Here is a 16,457-nt window from a genome sequence, read left to right as displayed (position 1 = left end):
CCTGCAGGTCTGGCTGAGCCTCAGTGCTTCCTTCCAGGAAGAAATATCTTGCTGGGCAGAAGCTCCCGCTTGGCGAGGCCCGTGTAGCGGCTTGCTCTGCCACGCCTGGCAGCAGGTGGGCCCGTGTCAGCAACAGAAATGAGGTCACTTACTACCCTGCCTGCCACCCGCGTGAACCTTGCATGCATTCCTTGTTCAATGAGATGTTGTTTGCAAATGCTTCCCAGGGAATTGGTGAGGGTTTCTTTCTTTCTCCTTTTATTTTCCTCTTCTCTGTCTGGCTTAGGAACAGAGTTCCAGCTGCTACGGCAGCAGGCTGGAGACTGAGATCAGGGTTTGTTGGCAGCCCAGCTACTGAGCTCCCTGCTCCTTGGCCTCAATCAGCTCAGCCGGTGATATGGCCAAGTGTTAACGGCAACTATCCTCCACTGTCCTGTCACCAGAGGCCACAAGAGAAGGGCTAGACCCTCTCCTCTGAGAACCCAGGGAGCTCAGCTGCCATGTACAGCGATTCCCCCAAGCTCCAAGATCCCCCTGCTCTCAGCCCTCCTCTCTATCTGCCAAGGCTGTGCCCAGGCCATTCCCAACCCTGGAGGCAGCATCCCACCAGGAAGCCTCCCCGGGATTAGCTCTTTTTTTCTACCACCTGCCAGTACAACCTATGACCTCCTAAGCTCTGCAGGGGGCAATTGGTATGTCTTGTATGTGGTTATTTCAATCAATACTTCCTGAGCACCTACTAAGTGTCAGAGCCTAGAGATGTGATAGAAAACAAGACAAGCTTGTTTTGTTACTGATATGGTTTGGCTGTGTCCCCACCCAAATCTCATCTTGAATTGCAGCTCCCATAATTCCCACGTGTTGTGGGAGGGACCCAGTGGGAGGTAATTGAATCATGGGGGCAGGTTTTCTCTGTGCTGTTCTCATGATAATGAATAAGTCTCATGAGTTCTGATGGTTTTATAAAGGACAGTTCCCCTGCTCATGCTGTCTTGCCTGTTGCCATGTAAGACACGTAAGACGTGCCTTTGCTCCTCCTTCACCTTCCACCATGATTGCAAGGCCTCCCAAGCCTTGTGGAACTGCGAGTCCGTTAAACCTCTCTCCTTTATAAACTACCCAGTCTTGGGTATGTCTTTATTAGTAGCATGAGAACAGACTAATACAGTCACTGTCCTCAAGTAACTTCTGTCTAACTGAAGAGAAAGAGGTGAAAGAAGTACACAAAGGTTAAAGAACTGCGAAGGATGCTCATTGCTATAAAGAAAACAAAAAAGGATGGGAAGACAGAGACTATGAGGGGAGGGAAGGAGCCTCTTTTCTAGGGATGGATCAAGGAGGATGTCTTTAAGGCAGTGCCATGGGATCTGAAACCTGAAGGATAAAGAGAAGCCCATCATGGAAACACTGGGGGTAGAGGAACATTTGAGGCAATGGCCCGAGGCTCATGGTGGAGGGTGAGGAGGAAGAGGAGTCCTGGGGGATGAGGTTGCAGGGGGTGGCAGGGTCTGATGGTGCTCAGGGAGGACTGTGCGTTTTGCTTCTGTACAACAGATGGCTTGGAAGTGCCTTAGGCAGACATCTAAAACAATGTCGCTTTATCCCCATTGTGCACACCTAGTACCCTCAGAGAGTATCTGCCAAATAAATGAGGTGAGGCTCTGCTGGTTATTTGTACCTTTCCCTTTACTCCACGTTGGATTTTCTATTCCATTAGCATGTGGATTTTGATGCCAGGCCTGTTCCTTCCTTGGCACCCCAGTGAAATCTGGTCCCTCTAAGTACCTGGAGTGTACACTGCTCTGTGCACTATGGGGCCCTTGGCCAGTCACTCCTTTCTTGCCCTCTGTTTCTCCATCTCTGAAAATCAATCATGGTCCCTTTTACTTTTCCCAGTCCTGGAGGCTGACAGCTCACATCTGCAAAATCAGGCAAGCATGGAAACTCTTCCATACAAACGGTGGTTATGGTCACCATTGCACATAAAATCTGATTGAAATAAGAATGGGCCACACATATAGGGCTCTGGAAAGAGGAATGCCTGCCTTCAAATCCCAGTATACTTCCTAGCTGTGTGGCGACTGTCAAGCCACTCCACCTCTCTGAACCTGTTTTATTTCCTGTAAAATAGATGTTTTGAGGGCCTTCACAGAGTATCTTGCTTTGGCAAATGCTCTATTCATAGCAGCCGTCATTCTAATTGCTCCTGTTCCCATGTAACCCTCGTGGCAATATTGCAAGGAAGACATTGTGATCTCCAATTCACAGATGTGGAAACTGAGGCCAGAAGATAAAGCCATCTGCCCCAGGTAACTCAGAGACTGAGACAGGATCACTGGTCTAGGTTTCCTGACTCTAAGTCTAGCACAATTCCCGTGCAGCCCTGGCTCCCACCACGGTGGGAGACTGTTCTCTCTGGGGGCACTCTTGCGGCAGCTTCCCAAATGCCACTTATACCGGAGAGTTCCTTGAGGGGATCTACTGTGTCTGGATTCTCAGTGGGGGGCATCTTTTCTTTGATTGTTTACCAGCTGAGTTCCAAATACAAGAAAGAGAGCAGGCAGGGCCCAGGCAAGGGCTGGGGAAGCTGTCTGCTGACAATACCAATGAATTTTTACAAAATTACCAACTCCCAGCATCTCCCATTAACGAGCAATTCCTTGCAAGGCAGACATGCTAACAAGACGCTTCTGAACTCCCATCTGCATTTTCTGCTGCCAATGGGGGAGATATGAAAAGTAACGTTTGGGGGAGCCACGTTCTTAATTATTGAGTGGGGGAGGAGGAAAGCTGGAAAAGGCTTCTTCATCCTTTGCAGATCTTTAATGAACCTTTTAACATAGTTAAAAAAATAAATGAAGAGAAAAATTTTTTAAAGCCCTTTTTTAAACTTTTGGCAGGTTTGATTAGTGGTTTTGAAAGCCCTAAGCAGCCACTTAACTGGTGAGCCCCCTTGACAGCTGGTGAATGGAGGCAGGAATGCAGCCGGCCACGCTGGCCTTTTTCTCTTCTGTGTACCTTTTCCAAGATGGCTCACAGGCCCCGGACTCGCTGACCCCCCCCATCTGCTGTCCATGGTGCCCTACAGATGCAGCTGTGCCAAGCAGGCAGATGGACGCAGAGAACTTTACGAGTATGATGGGTTCCTGCCATATGCTGGAAGCAAGATCCAGAAGGAGGGTCAGAGTGGGTACAATGGGATGAGTTTGGGCAGGGCTGGGACAACAAGGAGAACTTATAGGCACAATGAAACCCTCTCCGGAGTGGGCTGGCTGCCATACCTTCGAGTCACACTCTGGTTCCTGGGAGGGACTCATGGTGTTGCTACAGAAGCGTAGGCTTGGGGACCAGGCAAGTCTGGATTTGAATCCTGAATGTGCCTCCTTTCAGTTGTGTGACATTTACAAGTGAAGAACTTCTCTGAGCCTCAGTTGCCACATCCATAAATTGGGGATAATTATACCTACCTCATAGTGTTGTAAGAAGCAAATAGTTAGGCCAGGTGTGGTGGCTCATGCCTGTAATCCCAACATTTTGGGAGGCTGAGGCAGGCAGATCACCTGAGGTTGGGAGTTCGAAACCAGCCAGACCAACATGTAGAAACCCTGTCTCTACTAAAAATACAAAAATTAGCTAGGCATGGTGGCACATGTCTGTAATCCCAGCTACTCAGGAGGCTGAGGCAGGAGACTCACTTGAACCCGGGAGGTGGAGGTTGCGGTGAGCCGAGATCACACCATTGCACTTTCAGCCATCTCAAAAAAAAAAAGAAGAAGAAGAAGAAGAAGAAGAAGAAAATAGTTGTAAGAAGTAAATATGGTGTGCTTGGCATATAGGAAGCACCCCACACCCAAAAAAATTAATTTCCTCCATCCTCAACTTCTACACCATGACCTTATTCTTCTTGGGTATCAGGAGCTATATAAAAAGTCAACCACATAAGTAAGGAATGGGAAAGCCATAGTTAGGATATGTGAAAAACACAAGGGTTTAGAAAACAGCAAGTATATTGTGGGTCTTTAATGAAATATGGTGATCCAAACAACAACGGGATACTGCTGGTCATATTAATAGAGGCAGAGTAGGTAGCATGTGGGAGGTGATCATTTTATTGTACTACAGTATTCCCACCCCTAGAAAACTGGCATCACATTTTGGGCAATATATTGACCAACAGGATTGGGTCTAGAGTGGGCATCCAGAAAGGGGAGAGGGACTCCAAACCATACCATATGGAGAAGAGCTGAATAAACTAGTCCTGTGTAGCCTAGGGAGAGACTAGATGGGTAGAGGTGAGAGACTTCTGGTAGTCTTCAAATGCCTGACATGTGGTCCCCTGGAAAACATAAAGTGTTTCTGAGAAGATGGAAACCCCCAGAAGTTTAATTTTGATTAAATATACATAAAAGGACAATATATTTTTTATTATACTTTAAGTTCTAGAGTACGTGTGCACAACGTGCAGGTTTGTCACATAGGTATACCTATGCCATGTTGGTTTGCTGCACCCATCAACTCATCATTTACATTAGGTATTTCTCCTAATGCTATCCCTCCCCCATCCCCCCACCCTGCAACAGGCCCCAGTGTGTGATGTTTCCTACCCTGTGTCCATGTGTTCTCATTGTTCAACTCCCACCTATGAATGAGAACATGTGGTGTTTGGTTTTCTGTCCTTGTGATAGTTTGCTTAGAATGATGGTTTCCTGCTTCATCCATGTCCCTGCAAAGGACATGAACTCATCACGAGGAGAATATTTTTAAAAGTCAAAGCCAATTGTGAAAATTCATGCAACAATGCATACTGGGCACTGTCCTTGGTCCTGGAAATTAAAAAAAAAGTGAAGGAACAAAGTCCTTGCCCTCAAGGAACCCACCTTCTAGTGGACAAAGCTGCCCAGGAGGAGCGAGTCCCCAGAAGTACTGCCAGCCTCTCAGGGAGGCTGTGGTGGTAAGGTTGGACTTAGTGACTTAACATCTGTGATTCCCTGTATTTCAGTTGACTATTGCCAAGATCTTGTGCTGTAGTCAACCGTCTGGCTGATAAATGCTTTGCCTTGGTCTGGGGTTGACTGAAACATGGGCCAGCTCCGAATTTGGGAGCTGTGAATGTGGTAGTGGTCAAGGGTGGGGATGTAGTGGTGCCATCTAAAGCATAAATATACATAAATATCCATCTAGGTATTGTCTGCCCAGAATGCATCTCCTTTACTTCCCATAAGATTACTCTGGCTTCCTGGGATGGCAAAGCCTCCTCCCTGTCAGTCCAGGTGTCTTTAGTGGGATCCTCTCGTTTATTGCTCCAGGAATGGGCATGTGTTCCAGCCCTGTCCAATCAGAACCACTCCTTCTTCTGGCCACATCGATTGGTTCAGAGTTGAGCATGTGACTCTAACTGGGCCAATGGGACCCCACAGGAGTCAGTGCTGGTCTTCAATGGGGATTGCTGGGCAACAGAAAGACTCCCACTTAGAGGATGGAATGGCAGCTTGGAGGTGCTGGCAGCCATCGTGCCACCCTGAAGGAAGAGCCTGGGAATAGAGAACACAAAGGAACGCAGAGCCAAGCAATGGAGAGAGAAAGATCAACATTTTTATATTGAGGACTGATTATATTTTGTATAAATGAAATATTTTTATCCTGACAATATTTTTAGAGTGACCTGGATCCAACCAGACCTGAAGTATCACCCAAACTTATGCATTCTGGCTCTGACAAATCACCTGTTGTAGTGGTGATTTGAGGCAGCTTGAATTAATTTTTTTCTGTCACTTGCTCCCAAAAGGGTTCTCTCTGATGGAGGGGGCTCTGTTAAGTGTAAGATTGTTCCCTCTCCTGTGAAATCTCAAATCTCAGGTGATCTGGTGGAAGGAAATCATTTTAAAAGAAACAAGAGGGGATCCATTAACATCTCAAGGAGTTCCCCAAAAAGGATTGTGTGGAACTCATGAAGATAACTCGTGCTTCTTAAGACATTTGAAACTGGGCAGGGAATTCGCCAATCATGCTGACGTGATTCTAGAAGAAGGAGGCAGATTAGCATGTCTGTTATCACCCCGGTTTGTGGTGATTTCAGGGAGTGATTTTTGCACCCCACCCCCAACCTCAGGCTTTCCCACCAGGCACCATGAGTCAGCTTGCAGAGGCCCTGTGGGAGGGAATGCCACTGTGTCCTCTGATTATCATCATCATTATTATTACTACGTTAAAAAAACACCTTTGGAGATTATTAAAATCTCAAGCAAGGACATGTGGGCCCACAGACCAGGCGCCTGATGGGTCCCTTGTGTAAGCCCCTGACAGGGCAGTGGAGTTGAATAATAATGCTAATTTGTCACTAATGAGCTTCCCTCTTCAGCGGGCAGGTGAGAAAGCGGCTGGTGCCAGGGGGACTCCTGCAGGCTCGAAGGCTGTCACGCTGGTTCCCAGAGCCAAGAGGGTGACCGAGCCCCTGCCCCAGATGCTGCAGAGATGAGGCACAGCTCAGGCTCTGACTTGGCTAGGTGAGGTTGTGAAAAAAACAGGGATCCCCAACCAGGATGGAAATTGTCCTGACCCCACCTCTGGCATCTAAACGCTGCAGACCCTGTTGGCGAAGGCAGTGGTGGGGTGGGGGCTGGCCTGAAAGGGGATGGGGCCAAGCCCAGCCTACGCAGCTATGCTGTGAGCACCTTAGCACCACTGGACAACAGCGGCAGCCTCTGGGAAGCTACCTGGCCATCAGAGGCAGGGGAGGCCGGGTCTGACTGAGGTGGAGCCATGGGGCTGATTCATAGGAGGGAGGGGCAGAGGACTTGCTCCTGTGGCACCAGGGAGTGTGGGGTGGGGATCCTCAGGAGGGAAGGAGGGTGAGGCAGTAGGGGTTCCATCTCATTGAGCTGTGGCCTGCCTGTGAGCTGGGGGATCTCCGAGTGGGTTTAACCAGTAACTTTTTCTTCTTTTCTTTTTTCTTTTGTTTTCTTTCTTTCCTTCTTTCTCTTTCTTTCTTTCTTCTTTCTCTTTCTCTCTTTATTTCTCTCTCTCTTTTTTTTTTTTTTTAGAGACAGGGTCTCACTTTGTTGCCCAGGCTGGAGTGCAGTGGTGCAATCATGGCTCACTCCAGCCTCGACCTTCTCAGGCTCAGGCAATGCTCCCACCTCAGCCTCCTGGGCTGGGCATGGTAGTGTATGCTGGTAGCTTTGGGAATACTACAGGTGCGCCACCATGCTCAGCTAATTTTTGTATTTTTTTGTAGAGACGGGGTTTCACCATGTCGCCCAGGCTGGTCTCGAACTCCTGGGCTCAAGTGATCTGCCCACTTTGGCCTCCCAAAGTGCTGGAATTACAGGCCTGAGCCACTGTGCCCGGCCAACTAGTGACTCAAACTGTGCACTGAGAAGCCCGGGACCTCTGTGGGTGATCGTGGAAGTGAGAGAGGAGGTGAGTGGGGAGCACTCTTACCTGGTGTAATATCAGAGACCCATCTAAGGTTTTATCCAAAGGAAAAGGTCCACGGGCTTCCTGTCCTCCGTGGTTTTTAAAAAATGGTTTGAAAATGCCTGACATGGTCCATGTTCCCCTGCTGCAGTTATTTAACTGAGGCTCAGAGAAAAGAGCAACATTTCAGAGCCAGTATATTTTCAGCTCCCAACAGGACATAGGAGCATCTGTCACAGCTTGGCATCTTGCAGGGCCTGAGGCTGGGAAAAGCCTTTGCTGGGAGAAGCTGTAGTCCATGGGAATGTAGAAATGGGAGGCCCTGGGGACCTGCAGGGAGACAGCTGAGCCCTGAGGGCCCCCCAGAGACCCAAATGAAAGTAGGAAGATCAGATCCATTTCCATGGGTTCTGGCCAATGGCAAGTCCCAGCCAGAGAGTCCTAGGGCAAAACCCCACATCCCTGGGGTTGTGGGTTGCAGGAAAGCATGTTGGCTCAGGAATCTCAGTCTGGAAACTCTGGTGGAACTCAACACCCTGACAGGGGAGCTGGGGGGCCTCCCAGGGGTAATTAGTGGGACTGTTGTGTTACCGATGCGTCTACAGATGGCCAGGTCCTGCTCTCCAGAGCCTGCCGTCGCTCTCTGGCAGGTTCAACTTGTCCTGGCTCTGTGCTCACTGCATGGCTGTGGTCCACCCATCAGACAGCTGCCGGCACATCTGGGACAGCTGCAACGGGCCAACGCTGGCACCTCCACTGTGCAGAATTATTCCATCCTCCCTACGAGCCTGGGTGTTGAGGAAGGACATTGTGGTTTAGAGAGGGTAGAGGACTCTCCATGGAGGACAGGAAGCCCGTGACAGAGCCAGGTTTATAAGCAGATTTCCCAGCTCCCCTCTGAGTGCTCAAATCCTCTCCCAATGCTGCCCTCCTCGTCACAGCCCATGAGCATGTCTCACATGAGACATCTTCCAGCGGCGCCCCTTGAGTCTGGGAGAGCACCGTGGAAGGTTTGTGCTGCCACCCTGCTGTCCCGGACACTCACTCCCTACCAGCCTTTCCCAGAGATGTTCCATTGGATATTCATGGGAAGGATGGCTTGCTAGTCTATAAGTCCAGAAAACCTTGAATTAAAACAAAGTAAACATGCTGTTCTTTTTTTTTCTTTTCCTTTCTTTCTCTTTCCTTCTTCTTTCCTTCTCTCTCTTTCCTTCCTTCTCATTCTCTTTCTTTTCTTTCTCTCTTTCTTTCTTTTTCTTTCATTCTTTCTTTCTCTTTCCTTTGTTTTTTTCTCCCTCTTTCTTTCCTTCTTTCTCTTTCTTTTCTCTCTTTCCTTCCTTCCTTCTTTCTTTCCTCTCAGATCCTTCACTATAATCATGTCTTGTGAATCCCCAAGAAACAGATAGGGGTTGCAGCATTTCCCATTCTCAGTGAGTCACTTTATCTGTGAGGCTGGACTCAGTTATTCTGCAGTAACAATAATCTCCAAAATGTTCCTGACTTATAACAACCAAGGTGTGTTTCTTGCTCACGATCTATGTCCCCTACAGAGTGACAGAGGAGTTTGCTCCTTGTAGCCACTCACAACCCCTTTCCAGCAGGTGCTTCCCAGCAGGGGGAAACTCAGTCAGGATTCCTGAAAGTCTCCCATGAGACACCCTGGTCAGAAAGTGATGCACGGGACTGTCACCTTGCAGACGTTGGCCAGAACTGGTCACATGGCTTTGCTCGGGGACAAAGGGGCCAGCCAGTGCACTGCTACCATGCGCCCCGGAAGCACACAGCTAGGAAATGTGGGGGAGCACCATGCCCAGGGGCTTGCTGGTCTGCAGAACAGGCACTGACATTCCCCAGGCCCTGTGGCTCTGCAGAGCCCAACTGGGGAAGGAGGCTCCAGGCCACGGCAGCGGGAGAACTCTTGGATTTCTGGAGTTCTTTCCCCCACTCTTTCTGCCGACATCCCAAGAGTAGCAGTTGCCCATGTCCTTCCTTCTTCTGTTCCCCCCTCAGCCTCCCTTGCCCTTGTCATTTTCCATTAGACCTGGCTAAGTCCACTCAAGGGCCCCCTTCTGAGAAGGAATCTCACCATAGACATCTCAGTTATTGCCTGACAACCAAGGGGACTGTAATTACCAGGAACACATGTTGGGATGCGAACCTCTCACTTTCCTACAATGAACAGTCCCCACACACTCCTGCCTGAGGTGTCAATTTAGCCCACCCAAGTCAGAGGGGAGTTGCAGAAAGGATCAGAGTTAGAAGATAGAGCCCATGGTCAATGTCACCCTCTGCCTACAGCTCAGCTCAACCCAGCCCCACTGAAGCCCATGCTCAGTGGAGCCCACAGAGACCAGGCTGGTGAGGGGCAGTGGTGCCCAGTAGTGAAGGTCACGAGCACTGGATCCAACAAACTAGCATGTGGCCTTGAGCAGAACAGGGAGCCTCTCTGATCCCCAGTCTCTTCATCTAAACATACAGATGTTAGCAAGATTGAATCAGGTAGTACCGGACGCATTGATCATGACTGGATCATACTGAATGTTGTTGTGGAATGGTTGCTGTTGTCATCACCAGAAGGAAAGAAGGACAGGTGTATAATGGGACCTCAAGGGCCTGGGCCCAGCCCCGGCTCTGCCTCTAACCTACCATGTGCCACTGGCACTCCGCCTCTCTTGGCCTTGGCTTTACCCAGTGTAAAGCAAGAACATTTCCAATATCTTTAAGAGGGTCTATAAGGCCCTGCAAAACTCCAGCACCTGCGAGTTTTTCAGCCTCATGTTGCACCCTCTCCCTGGCCTTCTCTCCATTCCAATCAGGACAGAATTTTTCTTCCAATAGCTCAGATCTTATGTCAGTCAGCTACAGCCCTGCCAGTGCTTCATAACAAGCCTTCTCAAAGCTCAGTGGCTGACAAGAACAAGCATTTATCCTCAAGCTTATGGGTCTGCAGGTTGGCTGAGGTTTGGTTGATGTAGGCTATAGAATGATCTCACTTCTGCTTCACATTTTTCCCCCCAGAGTCTAAGGAGGTTCTGCTCATGGCAGATGACCAGAATGCAATAAACCAAGCCAAACCAAGCCCTGCCAATTTCCTGTCTGACCAAAGCAAGTCATGTGGCTAAGCCCAACATCAGTGGGGCAGGGAAGTACACACCACCCACGTGGAACGGAGAGGGAAATGAACACTGGCTGAACAACAGTCCACACTGTCACAGGGCACAGGTATCTATGCTTCCCTCCACCCCAGTCTCAGGGCCTTTGCACATGCTGTTTCCCCAGCCTGGAGTATTCCATCTGCACCATTCTGATGGCAGCTTGGACAGCACCTTCCCCAGGGAAGCTGCCTCTGCCCCCACAGTCTGGATTCACCTCCTCCTCATCCTCCCACAGCATTCTGTGGGCCTTTGTTCCTGAAACCCTCAGGGCTGCCCTGCATGGCATCCATCAGTGCAAGCTTCCATTCCAAGCCCCTTCTCTGTTTCTTCCTGTAACTCATGGTCTGGAAGGCTGAAATCCCCATCTCCCAGATTTCTCTGTAGCTTGGATTCAGGATAAAACCAAGTTTCCACCAATCCATATACTTGCACAGCACTGAGGAGGCAGACATGAGGTGGACTACTGACCCTCTCTGCTGGTTAGATAGCTGTGATTTTCCTACAGCCAATTTCTAGGTTTATTCACCAGCATCCTGGGTGTCATAAAGGAGTGATGGTGGGGACAGCTTTTTGAGCCTTAATCACTGAATCACAGCATTAGGGTCCCTCCATCACCTCCTCCTATGTGGGGGCTGTGGATCAGGATAGGGGCTCAAATCTGATAGCAGGGCATTGGCATAATCTCAGCGGTCCCAGCTGCTTCATGATCCGGGCCTGACTTGTTCTGACATCCATTCCTGGAAGCTTAGCCTTGAACCCTGCCTTTTCAGACCTTCTTGTGGTTTTACAAACACATAATCCCCTTCCTCCTGAAAATACAGCACTGCGCCCCGACAGACACCATGTTTTAATTACTTGTTCAAATGCCATATTCCTGACAAGACTGCAAATGTCTGCTGACAGGGACCAAACGAGTTGTGTTCACCGCTGTGGCATCTGTCACAGTTCCCAGCACACAGCCAGGACATGGTAAACATGACTTTGAACGATCAAATGCATGAGTCCACGTACTGCCTCTTGCAGATTCTCACCATGATCACCAAATGATAGACAGAGATTGAAATGGTAACCCAAGGAGAAGCCCCAGCCTGTTCCGCATCCCCAAAATGCCCAAAAGAAAGACATCACAAACTTTGTCCCCCAATGCTGTCTTCCAGGAAGGTGTCATGAGGTTGTATCTCTTTCAGTAGATAGGCAAACAGATCCTATTCTTGGGAAGCCAGAGGGCTGTAACAGTTGAGGAACAGGTTGTAACATCAGGCAGACTTAGACTGAGTCCTCTTTCTGCCACTTATGAGCTGTGCAGCTTTGAGCAAGTGAATTAACCTCTCTGAGACTCAGGTTTTTCATCTGCGCAATGGGGAAAATAATATCTATCTTGCGGGTACTTGAGTACTTTGTATACACTGGGGGCTTAATAATCGGTCGCTTTTCTTTCCAAAGCCTGAAGCCTGACATGGAGCAATTGCTTGCCTAGGGCTTCCCATTTTGACTCATCAGAGGCCTTGGGATTCTCCAGGGGCTTCCTAGGCTAAGGCACTCATTGCCCCCACACATGAGCCTTTCACGGAACCAGTCACCAACCATCCCTTGGTGGGAATACTCTGTTGGGCCCCTTGGACTTCATGGTGTTTCAAGACACACCTATAACTTAGCAGATAACAAGAGCTGTTAAAAATCCAGGTGGCAGAGTCATTGTAATATGTGATCTTGCAACAGGGACAAGTTATGTTCTCAAGTGAGGATTCCCTACCACCCTCAACTTCCCCTAATGGAAGTGTGTTTGCCAGCTAGGAGACTCTCCCACCCCTCCACCTCCATAACAGCCAGCCCGGTGTGCTCAGCCCACATAGAAGACCGGATAAAGAGACAAGGAGCAAATGGGGAAAGACAGGGCCAGGATGGCTTATGTTCTGCGTAAGAAAGAGCTGGGGCGGATCGGAGGAAGGAGAAAGAGTTCTGATGCTTAGGTTTAGAGAGAGAGCGTTAGCCATGGGGAATAGAGTCAGAGATGATGGAAAACTGGCAACTGCCCTGCCCCCCGCCCCAACCTTTCCAGCTCAGAATGTTTCCTCCACCAACCGAGGCAGATGCTGGACCGAGAGCTTCTGTGATTTCTTGGGTTTAACAACACAAAGGTCACAGTAAACAAGGGTGTATTAAGTCATCATGACACAGGAGGCTGAGGGGAAGGACAGAAAGGCCTGAGTAGGTATTTTGATGAAGGGAGAAGCTCAGGGAAGATTTGGAATGCAGCCCTCACAGGAGAACAGACAGTTCTGGGTGAAGTATGGGGGCCCCCAGCCCGGGAAGCCTGGCACCACTGGAGATAAGCTTCTTAGGAGCCTTGGATCTGCTAGCAGTGAGCCCCACTCCTCCCTACATCCTTGGCAGAAAGGAGAAAGTCTTTTTTTTTTTTTTTTTTGAGATGGAGTCTCACTCTGCCACCCAGACTGGAGTGCAGTGGTGGAATCTTGGCTCACTGCAAACTCTGCCTACTGGGTTCAAGCGATTCTCCTGCCTCAGCCTCCCGACTACAGGGACTACAGGCGTGCTGGGACTACAGGCATGTACCGCCACGCTTGACTAATTTTTGTATTTTAATAGAAACAGGGTTTCACTGTGTTTCCCAGGCTGGTCTCGAACTCCTGACCTCAAGAGATCTGCCCGCCTTGGCCTCCCAAAGTGCTGGGATTACAGGCATGAGTCACTGTGCCTGGCTGAATAAAGTTCCTCATATGCCTTTGAGGGCCTCTCAACAGCCCCTCCTGACGTGTGGAATCTCCCCAGCCCTGCTCCTTAGCAGAGGCAAAGGACACTTAGGGATGGTAAGATGGGACAATGATAGAGCAGAACACTTGGAGTCAAGAGACTTGGGTTCAAGTCCTGATTCTGCCACTTCCAGCTGTGAGTGTTGGGCAGATTCTCTAGCCTCCCCTGGGCTCGGTTTCTTCAACCGTGAAATGGGCACAGCAGTACTTACATCGTGGGGTTGCTCTAGATACAAAACCATCGGGCATTTGAAAAGGCTCAGCACAAGGGCTCGAACACGGGAAGCATTCAGTCCTTGATGGTTACTATTTTCAGTGCCGTTGATACCTATTCTGTCTTGTCCTGTGTCCCTGAGCCATGACCACTTAATAACCCTGTTCCCCACCCCCTTCCAGGCTCCAAGCCCTTCTCCTGACACTTGCTGTTTCCATGACATCCCTGGTTTGGGGAGCTAATTTTAATGAAAAGGATTGATTAATACCAAATTATTACTTTTCTTTTGTGTCCCTTTTGTCATTTAGAAATGGAAACAAAAGATATTCTTGAGCTCAAGTCAAACATTTACCAAATTAATTCTACTAAGAAATTGTTTGAGATTTCAAGGGTTGGTGGCTCCCCCCCCCCCTCCTTAACTCTACTACATCATAAAGTAATTGCCTGATTAAGGGACGCGCAGCTTGGAGAGTGACACATTTTTTAAAATTAGAACATGCCTGCCAACGGACACAGTTATGCAACTGGTTTTCTCTTTTCCAAACAACTTGATTCTCAAGGAGAAACGACAGAAGGGACAAGGGCACGGGAAAGAACCGAGGAACAGGAAGCAGGCAAGAGCGCCGGGCAGAGTGTCTTTGGCAGCCCAGTTCAACTCCTTTTCCCCAGGACTCCTCACCTGACACCTCTCTGGGATCTGCAGCTGCCTTCCACTGACCTTCATTGATGTCAACCCACTGTCATGAAAACCAACAATGGGGATTGTTGTTGTTGTTGTTGTTGTTGTTGTTGTTGTTGAGATGGAGTCTCACTCTGTCACCCAGGCTGGAGTGCAGTGGCGCGATCTTGGCTCACTGCAACTTCCGCCTCCCTGGTTCAAGAGATTCTCTGGCCTCAGCCTCCCCAGAAGCTGGGATTACAGGCGCCCACCACCACATCCGGTTAATTTTTGTGTTTTCAGTAGAGACGGGGTTTCGCCATGTTGGCCAGGCTGGTCTTGAACTCTTGACCTCAGGTGATCCTCCCACCTCATATTCCCAAAGTGCTAGGATTACAGTCATGAGCCACCGTGCCTGGCCCAATGGTGGGGATCCTTGTGAAGGCATCAATTCGAACACAGACTAGACCCCTGGTGGGAACCATGCCCCATGCTAGGCAGCAGGCACTAAGAGGTCCCTATGATTTAGGCCCTGCCCTCCAGGCTGGCAGAGGAGATAACATCATAAGCAAAAAACTGCATGACTATGTGTAAATGGACTTGGGAGGGTGGAGGGAACAGAAAACCTTACCTCCTGCCACTGTGCCCAGACGGACGCCCCAGCCACACTGGCCTGTTCTGCAACCACTCTGTGCCACTCCAAATTCAGCCCCTAAATGCAGTTCCTGCTTCTTAATGCTTTTCCCCAAGACCTTGGCACGGCTGCCTTCTTCACACCAAATACCCTCTTTTCCAGGAGCCTTCTCTGACCCCCACAAACTGAAGTAGTAGCTTCCCCAGGCCAGTCACTCTCCCCAGCTTCCCTCTTTTGCTCTGTGCATAGCACTGGTTGCAATCTGACAGTTCCTTTTGTGTGTGTCTGTTTCTATGTAAGTTTCACAGGCCAGGCCTCTCTGTCTTGTTCTCCTCCATCTTTCCATTGCCTCAAACAGAGCCTGCCATGTTACTACTTGCAAGTGAAGGAATGGACGAAGGAAGGAAAGAACGAATGAATGAAGGATGGAAGGCAACTGCTTAACTACTGCTCCACCAACGGAACTCATTCCCTTCCCAGGATCATATCTTTAAACAGCTCCTGACCCCAGCTTCCTGGGGGAAGGGAGGAAGAGCAGATCAGAATAGGCATCTGGAGACTCAAGTTCTAATCGTGAGCCTGAGGGTGCTCAAGTGACTGCCCCTCTTTGGGCTTCACTTTCACATCTGAAATATGAAGGATTTGGTTCAATGATCTAAGGGAGCCCCACCCCCCAACTCTGTCCATGTGGAGGTCTATGCAATAAATCCAAAGAAGCCAGTCACAAAAGACCACATAGTATATGATTCCGTTTATGTGAAATGTCTAGAATAGGCAATTCTATGGAGACAGAAAGTAGATTAGTGGTTGCCAGGGCCTGGGGCGGTGGGTGGAGGGATCGCGGGGAGGGAGTGATAGCTAAATGGCATTCTTTTTGCAGTGATAAAATGTTCTAAAATTGATTGTGGTAATGGTTTCACAACTTTGTGGATATACTAAAAACCATTGAGTTGTAAAAAAATTAAAAATAAAAAAATCAATTAAAAACTAAGTATGATTTAAGGAACTGAAAAATGGGTGGTTGGGGCTGTGATCCTGGAAACTACACTACAGGAAGCCACCCACGCCATCTATGTGAGCCCCTTTGGGTCCCTTGGAGGCAAGAGGGGAGTCAGGGTCAAGGGTGAGGCTCCTGGACACGCTGCTCCCAGAGAGTTTGGCGCAGGACCAGGCAGAAGTATCTGCCTGACTCCTGAGTTTCTTGACAAAGCCACCATCTCTCCCTGGTGCTTCATTTTTAAGACTAATTTGCAATTCCCTTTGATGGAGAATGTGCCTCCTGTCTTGGCCAAGTGGCTTCTCACCCAGTTTCTCAGCAGCAGGGAAAGGCCTGTTTCAGCACCACCTGGCCTGCAGCATCCACAGGCTGATGACGACTGCCCCCTACACAGCACTCTCCACGGGACAAGCTCTGTCCTGGGCACTTGGCAGGTACTTCACCCTCCCAATAACCACGGGACGTACAACTTCATTTTACAGATGAGCCACAGCAAATGTAATTTGCCCCAGTTCACATGGTGAGGAAGTGGCAGAGCCAGGATTGGAACCCTCAGTCTGGGCCCAGGGCTGTGCTCTTAACCTGACACCTTGAAGCCCCTGTGAGCCTGGG

The 16,457-nt window shown here is 49.3% G+C and overlaps 1 long non-coding RNA gene across 3 annotated transcripts, besides 1 other annotated feature; it reads left to right on the top strand.

Annotated features, from left to right (window-relative positions):
- The first annotated feature begins 5,489 nt into the window (after positions 1-5,489).
- Positions 5,490-15,509, top strand: LOC105376809 (uncharacterized). Of its 3 annotated transcripts, none has more exons than XR_947006.2 (4): positions 5,490-6,043; positions 6,359-6,503; positions 10,435-10,638; positions 15,207-15,509. It is a non-coding gene; the product is annotated as an uncharacterized LOC105376809 (long non-coding RNA). The 3 variants fall into 3 exon arrangements; XR_947007.2 differs by lacking the exon at positions 15,207-15,509 and adding an exon at positions 14,117-14,328; XR_001737785.1 differs by lacking the exons at positions 5,490-6,043; positions 6,359-6,503 and adding an exon at positions 7,322-7,419.
- Positions 6,535-7,060: an enhancer, noted in NCBI's record as "H3K4me1 hESC enhancer chr1:18335413-18335938 (GRCh37/hg19 assembly coordinates)". NCBI's record gives its function as "activates a minimal SCP1, AML or CMV promoter by ChIP-STARR-seq in primed H9 embryonic stem cells {active_cell/tissue: H9 hESC(primed)}" and the evidence as "EXISTENCE:reporter gene assay evidence [ECO:0000049][PMID:30033119]".
- Positions 15,510-16,457: the final 948 nt, after the last annotated feature.

The sequence above is a fragment of the Homo sapiens genome, chromosome 1, assembly GCF_000001405.40.
Source record: "Homo sapiens chromosome 1, GRCh38.p14 Primary Assembly".
NCBI lineage: Eukaryota > Metazoa > Chordata > Mammalia > Primates > Hominidae > Homo > Homo sapiens.
This window is presented reverse-complemented; position numbering and strand designations above follow the sequence as displayed.